Source organism: Homo sapiens, chromosome 18 (genome assembly GCF_000001405.40).
Source record: "Homo sapiens chromosome 18, GRCh38.p14 Primary Assembly".
NCBI classification, from domain to species: domain Eukaryota; kingdom Metazoa; phylum Chordata; class Mammalia; order Primates; family Hominidae; genus Homo; species Homo sapiens.
In genome coordinates, this window is record NC_000018.10 from 23,148,414 (window position 1) to 23,160,852 (window position 12,439).

The 12,439-nt window shown below is 47.4% G+C and overlaps 1 protein-coding gene across 4 annotated transcripts in view, besides 1 other annotated feature; it reads left to right on the forward strand.

The window, feature by feature from the left end:
• Window positions 1-12,439, forward strand: part of CABLES1 (Cdk5 and Abl enzyme substrate 1) — a 125,907-nt gene that overhangs the window by 13,850 nt on the left and 99,618 nt on the right. Inside the window, exon 1 of one of the 4 annotated variants that reach the window (NM_138375.3) lies at window positions 7,412-7,539. The exons of the other annotated variants lie outside the window; for them this stretch is intronic. Coding sequence (NP_612384.1) covers window positions 7,490-7,539 — 50 coding nt within the window. The 5' untranslated portion in view covers window positions 7,412-7,489. Of the gene's footprint in view, window positions 1-7,411; window positions 7,540-12,439 lie in introns of those variants that run through there. 4 annotated transcript variants of the gene reach the window in all.
• Window positions 10,157-10,676: an enhancer, noted in NCBI's record as "H3K27ac-H3K4me1 hESC enhancer chr18:20738534-20739053 (GRCh37/hg19 assembly coordinates)". NCBI's record gives its function as "activates a minimal SCP1, AML or CMV promoter by ChIP-STARR-seq in primed H9 embryonic stem cells {active_cell/tissue: H9 hESC(primed)}" and the evidence as "EXISTENCE:reporter gene assay evidence [ECO:0000049][PMID:30033119]".

Here is a 12,439-nt window from a genome sequence, read left to right on the forward strand (position 1 = left end):
TTTCCCCTCTGCACATGGCTTCTACCTCCTCTCCTTGACCCCATGGTTAAACAGAGTTGGGTCTTTGTCCAGGGATCCCATTTGGCATTGGGTCAGCAGGGACTTCTATGTCGATTCTGCACACACATCTGCATGCCAGGCAAGTGTGGCCTTGTTCAGAGATAAATGGGGCCCAGTGCCCATTCCAGAAGAGGACAGCCCAGCACAAGGCAGCTGGACTCTGGGGCAGCCGGACAGGTTAGGGGCCACCATTCCTGCAGTAGGAGCAGTGATTGTCCTGGAGATGCCCTTGAAACTGGGCCTTCAGGTCAGCTGTGACCTCACGGTGGGTGCACTGTGGCAAAGCACATTGGATGCTTGGTTTAAGACGGTGAGTTTAATCCAGAGGAAAACGGGAAGACTTTGAATAGGCACAGGTGTGAGCAGAGCTGGATTTTTCAAAAGTGGTGACAGGTTGAATGGAGGAAGGAAACTATAGCAGTGCTCTTTTTTTGAGATGGAGTCTTGCTCTCTCTGCCCAGGCTGGAGTGCAGTGGCGTGATCTCAGTTTACTGCAACCTCTGCCTCCCAGGTTCAAGCAATCCTCCTGCCTTAGCTTCCTGAGTAGCTGGGACTTCAGGTGTGTGCCACCATGCCCAGATAAATTTTTTTTGTATTTTTAGTAGAGATTGGGTTTTGCCATGTTGTCCAGGCTGGTCCCCAACTCCTGATCTCAGGTGATCCACCTGCCTCAGCCTCCCAAAGTGCTGGGATTGCAGAGGTGAGCCACTGCGCCTGGCCTCATGCTTTTTGTTTTTAACCCCTTTGGCATCCTAATTGTCTCTTCAGATAAATCAACCTGTACTCATCCAAAATTTTTACTTTTAGGAAGTTTGTCTACTTTTTTTTGAGATGGAGTCTCGCTGTTGCCCAGGCTGCAGTGCAGTACTACAATCTTGGCTCACTGCAGCCTCTGCCTCCAGGGCTTGAGCCACCTTCCCACCTCAGCCTCCTCAGTACTTGGGACCCACAGGTATGTGCCACCTTGCCAGTAAATTTTTGTATTTTTAGTGGAGACAGGGTTTCACCATGTTGCCTAGGCTGGTCTCGAACTACTGAGCTCAAGCAGTGTACCCACCTCAGTCTCCCAAGGTGCTGGGATTATAGGAGTGAGTCACTGTGCCCAGCCATGGAATTTTTGGAAAAAAAAGCTAAACTCTATCCTGGATACGTCTGTTTTTGTTTGATTCTTTGGCGTGTTAGCCCAGTAGTTTTCAGAATGTGCTCTCTGGACCAGCGGCGGCCAGGAACTTGTTAGAAACACGATCCCCAGGCCCAGCCTCAGACCCACTGGGTCAGAAGCTCTGGGGCGGGGCCCAGCAATCTATTTCAACAAGGCCCCAACTTGCGCCTGTCGCCCGTTCAGGCTTGGGAGCAGCCACTGTGGACAAAGCCTTGTGTACCTCCAGCTTTACTGGACCTTCTGGAAGATGTGAACAGTGTCTAGTGCTCCAGAAAAGATTTTATTTATTCTAGCACAAATGGACAGAAGTTATCGCTGATGTGGGGGCTCTGCTATCCAGGTAATGCAGGGTTGAGGTTGAGGCTTGGCATCACCACCGTTAGGCTCGCCACTCCTTTTCTGTCCCGACACGGCCATGCTCTGTCTCTGGTGAACTTCTAGGCTTGGCTCTGATGATTCCCTTTTGCATTGGCTTTCCCTGCCTCCTTGTGTCTGGGGTATATGTTCCCTCATCTGTGTCCTAAAGCATTTCCTCTCCACCTCTATTTTAAGGTCATAGTAGTTGGTGTTTGTTTTTTTTTTTTTTTTTTTGAGACGGAGTCTTGCTCTGTCACCCTGGCTGGAGTGCAGTGGCGCGATCTTGGCTCACTGCCAGCTCCACCTCCCGCGTTCATGCCATTCTCCTGCCTCAGCCTCCCGAGTAGCTGGGACTACAGGTGCCCGCCACCACGCCTGGCTAATTTTGTGTGTGTATGTGTATTTAGTAGAGATGGGGTTTCACTGTGTTAGCCAGGATGGTCTCAATCTCCTGACCTCGTGATCCGCCCACCTCGGCCTCCCAAAGTGCTGGGATTACAGCCGTGAGCCACCACGCCCAGCCAGGTCGTAGTAGTTTTTCAAGTATCCAAGCAGATTTGTGGACAGCCTCTGCCCTGTGCCAAGCACTGGGATATGGGGGAGCCCCGGAGGGGTGGGACCCCTGCCACCACAGACCTTAGTGGCTCGTGCTGGCAATGGGGAAAAGAGGCAACCAAACCAACTATAAGTAGACTAAACTCTGGAGGGTTCGGTGAAGGGTCGTGGGAGTCTGTGAACTTCTATTAGGTGTTGTGACTGGGAAAGGCTTTCTCGGGAAGATGAGAAAGCAGTTCACCACCGAGAGATGGGACGCAGGTTTCAGGCATGGGGAGCCGTGTGTTCTAGGGTCCTGAGATGCCGATGCACTTGATCTGTTGCAGGAAGAAGGCCAGGGTGGTTGGAGCATAGTGAACTCGGGGAGCCAAGGGGGCTGACCTGAGAATCGGGCGGATGCCTCATAACGCTAAGAGCTCTCATTGTCTTTATTAGAAGCCGCTGGGGAGCACAGTGCCCTGGCCTACGTTTTTTTTTTTTTTTTTTTGAGAGGCAGAGTCTCGCTCTGTTGCCCAGGCTGGAGTGCAGTGGCGCGATCTCGGCTCACTGCAAGCTCTGCCTCCTGGGTTCACGCCCTTCTCCTGCCTCAGCCTCCCGAGTAGCTGGGACTACAGGCACCCGCCACCACGCCCGGCTAATTTTTGTATTTTTTAGTAGAGACGGGGTTTCACTGTGTTAGGCAGGATGGTCTCGATCTCTTGACCTCATGATCCGCCTGCCTCGGCCTCCCAAAGTGCTGGGATTACATGCGTGAGCCACTGTGCCGGGCCTCCCTGGCCTACGTTTTAAGGTCCCGCTAACTGCCATGGATTGAAGGAGGACAGACATGGATGTGAGACCTCTGGCAGCCTCTTGCCTTTAGGCGAGAGCTTCCTGCTGAGACACACAGTAGCCTGGACAGAGGTAGAGATGGTGAAGGGTGGGTGGATGGCAGGTGCGTCTTGGAGGTAGAGCTGATAGAACTTGTAGGGAACTTGAATGTTCCCTGCCATTGGTGGAGCTTTTGTCTAATTGGAGAGAAGCTCTTGAGTAATCCACCGACAGATGGAAGACTGCAGGCCTGGGGTGAGTCACAGAGCGGGGACAGCCTTGATCCTGTTGGCCTGTGATAAGTGATGGTGGATTGGACTGCACTGTGGCAGGTTGAGGAAGGCTTGCTTCGGGAGGTGACTGCTGAACTAAGGTCTAAGAGTGGACAGGTATCAAGGACTTGACAAGGGCTAGAAGGATTGGGGCAGACAGGAAGAGCAGCTGGTGCAGACCAGGGCCAGAAGGGCTCATGCAGGCAGGAGGAGCAGCGGGTTTGAAGAAACGAGAGTGCTGATGCTGTGGGCCAGGCAGGACATGGGGGCCACTTGCACCACAGTGGTAGCGAAGCGGGTGGAGAGAAGTGAACGGACTCAACAGAGATGAAAGGCACAATGGAGATGGATTAGATACGGAGCAGGGGGAGTGGAAGGCATTGAGGAGACTCCGGGGTTTCAGGCCTATGGACTGATTGGGTAGCAGTGCCATCTCTGAGACAGGAGTATTAGCTTGATCCAGTGTTATGAGTTTAAAAATGCTACCAAGCTAGGCATGGTGGCCTGTGTCTATAATCTTAGCTATCTGGAGGCTGAGGTGGGAGAATTGCCTGAGCCCAGGAGTCCAGCCTGGGCAACATAGTGAAACCCTGTCTTTAAAAAAAATTAATGAATGAGCTAAAATGCTACTTGGCAGAAAAATTGTGTAACTAAAGATGACCCTATTTCTTCTCATTGCCTATTTCTCCCCCTAATCCTTGCCGTTACTGTCCTAATGGCTTGAGGTAATATATCTGTAGGGTCTTAAGTAACTTGTTGATTGAATATTTACGTATGGAGATTTTCCTTTTTCTCCCAAGGTGGAGAATGATATTTATGGTTAGATACCATCTCAAGTTTATAATCGTTTGGTCTAATTTTTTTTTTTTTTTTTTGAGACGGTCTCACTCTATTTCCCAGGCTAGAGTGCAGTGGCAAGATCTCGGCTCACTGCAACCTCTGCCTCCTGGGTTCAGGCGATTCTTATGCCTCAGCCTCCCGAGTAGCTGGGATTACAGGCACCTGCCATCATGCCCGGCTAATTTTTGTATTTTTGGTAGAGATGGGGTTTCACCATGTTGGCCAGGATGGTCTCAAACCCCTGACCTCAAGTGATCCGCCTGGCTCGGCCTCCCAAAGTGCTGGGATTATAGGCTCGAGCCACCATGCCAGGCCTTGGTCTAAAATTTTTTTATTTTTTATCTTTTTTGAGACAGAGTTTCGCTCTTGTTGCCCAGGCTGGAGTGCAATGGCGTGATCTTGGCTCACTACAACCTCCACCTCCCGGGTTCAAATGACTCTCCTGCCTCAGCCTCCCGAGTAGCTGGGATTACAGGCGCCCACCACCACGCCCTGCTGTTTTTTGTATTTTTAGTAGAGACAGGGTTTCACCATGTTGGCCAGGCTGGTTTTGAACTCCTGACCTTGTGATCCGCCTACCTTGGCCTCCTGAAGTGCTGGGATTACAGGCGTGAGCCACTACGCCTGGCTGGTCTAAAATTTTTAATGTTACTTTTTTTTTTCCCTCCCAGGCTGGAGTGTAGCGGCATAACCTTGGCTCACTGCAGCCTCGACCTCCTGGACTCAAGCAATCCTCCCACCTCAGCCACCCAAATAGCTGGGCCTACGGGCATGCACTACCACACCTGGCTAATTTTTATATTTTTTTTGTAGAGATGAGATTTCACCATCTTTCCCAGGCTGATCTCAAACTCCTGGGCTCAAGCCATCTGCCTGCCTCAGCCTCCCAATGTGCTAGGATTACAGGCATGTGCCACTATGACCAGCAATATTACCTTTTAAGATTAATTTTGAACACAACAATTTAAAAAAAATAGGCTGGGGCTGGGTGCAGTGGCTCATGCCTGTAATCCCGGCACTTTGGGAGGCTGAGGCAGACAGATCACTTGAGGTCAGAAGTGCTAGACCAGGCTGACCAACATGGTGAAACCCTGTCTCTACTAGAAATATAAATAGTAACCAGGCGTGGTGACACATACCTGTAATCCCAGCTACTCGGGAGGCTGAGGCAGGAGAATCGCTTGAACCCGGGAGGTGGAGGTTGCAGTGAGCAGAGATCGCACCACTGCACTCCAGCCTGGGCAACAGAGCAAGACTCCATCTCAAAAAACAAAAAATAGGCCAGGCACCATGGCTGATGCCTGTAGTCCCAACACTTTGAGAGGCTGAGGCGGGCAGATCACTTGAGACTAGGAGTTTGAGACCAGCCTGGCCAACATGGCAAAACCCCATCTCTACTAAAAATATAAAAATTAGCTGAGTGTGATAGCACACACCTGTAATCTCAGCCACCTAGGACGCGGAAGCACAAGAATTGCTTGTAACCAGGAGGCAGAGGTTCCAGTGACCCGAAGTCACACCACCCACTCCAGCCTGGGTGACAGAACAAGACTGTCTCAAAAAAAAATTGTAGAAATGTCCCAAATCAGATTTCATTTATTCAATTTCAGTTGAACACATATAGTCTTCTAATTAAAAAAAAAATCTAGAGCAAGATCATTAGCTTTTTCAAACAATTTCTAGTTCAACTTGCACATGTTTGTATCTGATTGCCAAGTGCTGAAGTCTGAGTGATCTCACATGTGAAGAAGATGCCTTCTGGAAACCTCATAATCATGTGCCGCGGTAACTAAACAAGCACCCGGTGTGCTGTCCATTTGTTCTTGCTCGGCAAGTCAAATTAAGGCTGAGGTGCAGTCTCCACATACAGCAGCAGTTATGTCTTTCTCCCATTTTATTGGTGGTTTTTCATAATAGCGTGCCTGTTTAACTTGATCATCTACCGAGCCATAGGGAAATTGCACATCCCACATCTGCCGATTCCTTAATCTTCTTGAGCCTTTGTTATCATCTGTAAAGAGGGGGAGACGATATTTAACAATCGGGTGCCTCGTAGTGTGACTGCGAAGAGCAAATCTGAGATCTCTGTAAGGCACTTACAGTACCTAGAACATAGTTCTCAGTAAATATCTAATGGGACTCTTGTATCCCATATACTCTGTTGGTGCCGTACAGATTTTGTAGGGGCTGATGTCACCATGTCAGCAAGGGATTTGAACTTTAGAGAATTGAGTTTTCTCACCAAGTCATGTAGAGCAGGGATCCCTTCTAACGGAAGCCCATCCTCTCCCACTCTGCTCTCTTGCCTTTTGACACGTGTGACATTTTATCTAAACAAATTTTGTGACCTTCCTGAACAAAACAGGTTGTTTTAGGATGGGCCAGTGTTTCTGGACACCTGTACTGTTCAACACTTGCACTGTCTAAGAACATACGCTGATATTCATGTCATTTACCCATCCAGCCCCTGTTGGTGGGAAGCTGCTATGTGTGTACAGAATGACTAAACCAGACTTTTTTATTTGACCCTGTTTGCTACAAACGTAATTGAATAATTGGGGCCTGGCAGATCGGAAGCAATAGGAACAATATATTTCAATCCAGTACTCTGTGAGCAGCAGCATTTCACAGAGCCAGAAATAATTTAGCCTGTAGAGCTTATTAAGAAGTGCAATGTTCGTTATGCGTAACTTCAGTTCTGTTAGAGCCAAGAAAATAAAAGTCAAGGCTGAAATATAAGGAAATGAATAAGATACATGGAGGCTGGTGAGATCTGGAATAAAAAAAATATTTACATAGGAGTTCAGCTTTGATTTTATATTGTCACAAATTGGTACCAGATGCCTGCATTTCAGACAGACTCCTGAGCTGATCCCAGAGTGTGAGTTGGGAAACAAATCACTTTGCCATTTGGAAGGCTGATTGATATTTTAGGAGTTTCTTTTTGTTTTCAAAGGGAAAATAATGCATATTATAGACCTAGCAAACAGAACTTTTGTAAATGGCAATTAACAGAAGATGCCCAAGTGAGGAAGTCTCCAGTTTCTTTTTATAACCCTGGCAAAAGTAATGGAGGTGACATTTTATTAGCATTGGCATCTCCCGCTTACAATGGGAGCTAGTTCAGCCTTGTTGAGCCGTGTCCAGAGCTGGTAGCTTCATTTCCATTTTCCTTCAACCTCAGGGAGAAACACAAGGGTATTTCTGTCTGGGGCGGCAGGACCTCATGTGGTCTCCACGTGGCAGGATCCTAGAATCACGGGGTGGCAGTACATATTTTCCCCTATGGCTTTAAGAAAATGGCTTTTCATTTTGAGTCTTAGGTTTGGTCTCAACAGTGCTTGCTTAGCCTCCAGGCCATTTTTCTTCCTGGTGTTTGAATGACTCATAAAATGAGTTTGGAGTGGTCTGAAGCCTCTGCCTCCTTCCTTGAATGCTTTCTAAGAGGGGCTGCCATGCAAGAATATATGCTGATTTTCCCATGTAAGTTGTCAGAGGATCGCCTGGGTGACCCAGAGAGCTGAGTCTGTTTTTTTGGCTCCCCCCTTTGGATGCTGACGGTCTTTGTTGGAAATTGATCTCTGAGGCTCAGCCTGGAAAAGCGGGATGTCAGTCCTGATGTGGGCCAGCAGCGGGGGCTGGAGGGTGGTGTGAATGGCATGAGGTCATCTGGAACAGAGGGGGGGCTCCATGGAGGGTCCTCCAGCCCCCAAGACCAGCCTTGGTATTTCCTACAGGGGCTGGGCCATAGGCTCTCACATGGATAAGAAGGAACCTCGGAGGCCCTGGGAGGTGAGCCTGCCGTGTGCTTCTGAGCTCCATAGACCTTGGATGGAGGGACGAGAGCCCTTGTCTCTGTTCTCTGGGTTGATGCTGGCCAAAGGCTGCTTGGCTGTGAAAGGGAGGGAGACCTGGAGGCCCAGCGGGCACCAAGATTGTGTGTTTCCTGTTTCGCTTCAGGACCCTGGACGTCAGTGCCTGTGCTTTGTCCTCCTATAGTAGCTGCCTCTACTCGGAGGGAGTGAATTTTCATTATACAACTTTTAGCTAATATAGTCAAATCTCATTACCCCCAGTAGTTTGTTTTATAAAGTTGCTGCAAGCACTGAATTAGGAAATACTGATCCATTGCTCCGGAGGCAAATACATGGGTAGCTATGTTCCTGTGAGCCTCTGGTCACACGTTTCCGTCATCTGATCAATGTATACCTTGTCCTAGGTGCATTTCCATTTAAAGACACCTAATTTAATATATATTATTGACTCTTCATTGACAGCGGCATTGTAACACATTCCTGAATAAGGCTTCTTGAACATGTTTTTTCTCTGTAAGGCACACTGCAGCCTGCTTCTGCTTAGGAATGCTAGACAGCACTTCAGCACTGTGCTTGGGACCCTTTTAAACAGTGAAATCACCAGCAAAAAGCACAAAAATGCAAAAAATATGGCACTAAAAATGCTAAGAAAAAGACAAGAATGAGCTGAGAGAAGGCATGTAGCCTTGGTCACCTCAACTAGGAATCTGTGTGTTGGGTGACTCAAATTTTTTGCCACTTTGTACACACTCATGTCAGCGAAATAACCATGAAAGTGCCATGAGTGTCCATTTTGGGGTTACAAATAAATTTTAGCAAGTAGGACTGGACTCGGTGGCTCACACCTGTAATCCCAGCACTCTGGGAGGCCAAGGCAGGAGGATCACTTGAGCGTGGGAGTTGGAGACCAGCCTGGGCAGTATGGCTTAACCCCATCTCTGTTTTATTTAGAAATACATATATATGTTAAAAATAATTTAGCAGGTCGGCAAGTCTGCAAATATAGAACCTGGGGATAATGAGGATCAGCTGTACTTTATCCAGGTAGTAAAGGCGGGGGGGCGGTGGCTTCTCTAGATTGAGGGGTCCTGGAAAGAATCTGCTTTCTCTTTTACAAAGGCCTGCCTCAGCCCATCTCACTTATTCCTCATACCCTTGAGGTGGGAAGGGCTGGCTTTCTGTCCTCTTCCCTGTTGATCAGGAAGCCAAGAATCAGAGAGCCAGTGTGACCCAGGCATATGGCAGAAGGAAAGTGGAATATTTCAGGCTCTGAAGGCCTCTTCCTTCTCACCAGGCTGTGCTGGCAAGATAGGAAGAGTGCCTTAAATGATGGAATTTAAATGCTGACATCATATTTTAATACCATTTAAAAAGAAATATTATTATCTCTTCTTAATAATTTCTATATGATTTAATTAGATGAAAATCAGCATAGTAGCCAGGCATAGTGACACGTGCTTATAGTCCCAGCTACTCTGAAAGCTGAGGTGGGAGGATCACTGTACTCCAACCTGGGCAACAGAGCGAGACCCTGTCTAAAAAAATAAAATAAAATAGACTGCAGCATAGGATGGTGATTTGGAGTGTAAATCCTGGAGCCAGACTGCCCAGGTTTGAATCCTGGCTTTGCTATTCTCCACGTTGGGCAATTTATAAATAAAGTAAAACATTTCCGATCCTTGGTTTCCTTAATTGTAAATAAAAATAGTAATAACAGCCAGGTTCAGTGGCTTATGCCTGTAATCCCGGCACTTTGGGAGGCTGAGGCAGGTGGATCACTTGAGCCCAGGAGTTTGAGACCAGCCTGGGCAACATGGGAAGACCCCATCTCTATTAAAAAAAAAAAAAAAAAAACAAACCCACAAAATTTAGCTGGGTGTAGTGGTGTGCTGCTGTAGTCCCAGCTACTCTGGAGGCTGAAGCAGGAGGATTGCTTGAGCCTGGCAGGTCAAGGCTACAGTGAGCTGTGTTTGCATCACTGCATTCCACCCTGGGCATCAGAGCAAGACCCTGTCTCAAAAAATGATAATAACACCAAACATCTGAGGTTAATATGAGACTTAATGAATTTATATTTAGTGCTTGAATCCATGCCCGGCACCCTGTAGCGTGTAGACCTTCTGTGTGTTTCAACCATGGTTTTCATTTAGTGTGATCAGTACTTGGGAAATGCATGTTGAGGCCATCAGTGATGACCCCAAATAAATTAGGAAAATATATAGTACGGTTGTCATTGCATCGTACACAGCCAGTAAGGGATTTTGTAATTTTCCAGTTCTTTTCATCTGTTTAGGTTACATAGTTTGGGCCTGGAAAGTGTTTTGGAGCTTTATTTATCCAGTTTAACTGTCAGCAGTGAGCAGATTAAACAGACCTTTGTCAGAGTCTGTGTCATTTTTGATGAGTAGACCGCTAAGCCAATGAACAGATATTTGTGGGCACCTATTGGGTTGAATAGTCCCTGCCTCGAACGTGTGAGGATTTAAGGAACAGAAAATGAGATGTAAAGAGATGCCGCAAAGCAGCGTAATTGGGTGAAGAGCAAATGATCATGCCACCCCTGTAGCACTATCTCAACAGCCACTAAAGTGTATTTAAAACTGCCCATTTCCCTTCCTTTCCTTCTGCTACCTAGCATCTGGTAGAGATGCTAGCAAACGTCATGTGCCCCACTGGGTTGGTGTTTGTTTGCTTGTTTTTGAGACAGGGTATCGTTCAGTTGCCCAGGCTTGAGTGCAGGGCGCGATCTCGGCTCACTGTAACCGCCACCTCTTGAGTTCAAGCGATTCTCCTGCCTCAGGCTCCTGAGTAGCTGGGATTACAGGGGCACACCACCACGCCCGGTTAATTTTGTATTTCTAGTAGAGAAAGGGTTTCGCCATGTTGGCCAGGCTGCTCTCGAACTCCTGGCCTCAAGTAATCCACCCGCCTTGGCCTCCCAAAGTTTTGGGATTACAGGCGTGAGCCACTGCACCCGGCCTGGTCAGGGTCTTAGAATCTTCTAGGCTGGGAGTGGGAGGTGGAGCGGTTGTTCTGTTACTTTCTTACAAAAAAATTGCAGCCCAGAGTTCCTATGAGTATTTGCCCTGTTGTCTTCATATTAAGCTTTGCTTCGCCTAAGCTGCTTGCACTGATAATGTAAGCTTGCTGAAGTGCTGTTGTTAGAAAACTCCTGTTTTCTTGAGAGAGAAAGGCACCTTTCCTATAAACAAGTGTTTTGTGACATGTTTTAAGTGGACCTTTTACCCTAGATGGTGTTTTCTACCATATAAACTTTTTGTCAGTGAACAAGTGATTCTTTCTTCTGTGTCTGTGTTGATTCTGCCCGAGGCGACGGGACGAGATACACTGCTAAATAGATTCCAGTCAGATGATCCCAACCGTGTGAGCTTATAAAAGACAGCTGTTAAAGTTTAAAATTAATAATTAACACACACGCACAGACAAAAGTTGTTGCTCCTAGCAAGATTAAAATTAGTCTGCTGTTGCAGAAGCTCTTTATATCTTCCTCAAAAGAATTTTATTGTTGTGTATTTTTTCCCATTTCATCTAAAGATAAAAATTTAGGTAGAGAAAATGATAAATTGATTTTCTTTCTTTTTTTTTTTTTAAACTTGTTGGCAAGTTACACCGTTAAGGTGGTAGGGCTCTTGTCTCTCCGAAGAATCATAAGTAACACTTGTCTATGGCTACTTTGAAATTACCTAAATAAGATAAAATTATCCAAATAAGATAAAATTATCCCAAGCAAGAACTTTTTTTTTTTTTTTTGAGATGGAGTTTCACTCTGTCACCCAGGTTGGAGTGCAGTGGCGCGATCTCCACTCACTGCAACCTCCGCCTCCCAGGTTCAAGCGATTCTCCTGCCTCAGCCTCCCGAGTAGCTGGGATTACAGGCGCCCGCCACCACACCCGGCTGATTTTTTGTATTTTTAGTAGAGATGGGGTTTCACTATGTTGGCCAGGCTGGTCTCAAACTCCTGATCTGCCCACCTCAGCCTCCCAAAGTGCTGGGATTACAGGCGTGAGCCACCGCGCCTAGCCGTGTTGGTTTTCAAATAGCTATTTTGGTAGGTGATGGATTAGTAGAGTCTTGAATTTAGCAATGGAAAACACATAGGCAGTTTGTCTTCTGCAAGGCTCTGCCCTGCAGGTGCAGTGCCGGGCACATGGTATACAGAGGGTAGACCCTGTGTGCAGCGCCTGCCTCACGGCCCGCCTATTAGTCCAGGGTCCCTTCCTGAAGGGACCTTGAGCATGTCTGTTGTTTGAGGTTATTACAGCAGAAAGCCTGGCCTGGTGGGAGGTGATCGTGGTCATTCTCCCCTAAACTGTTCCCTGATGTACTTTGCAGGAGTCCACATGTTCTGGTCTTTATTGTGAGACTCCCCTGTGTGGGAGGGGTTTTTAAATAAAAACTGGCCTACAGACTGTGATCAAAGTCTCACTCTGAAAATGTCAAAAACAGGCTGGGTATGGTGGCTCATGCCTGTAATCCCAGCACTTTGGGAGGCCAAGGCGGGCAGATCACTTGAGGTCAGGAGTTTGAGACCACCCTGGACGACATA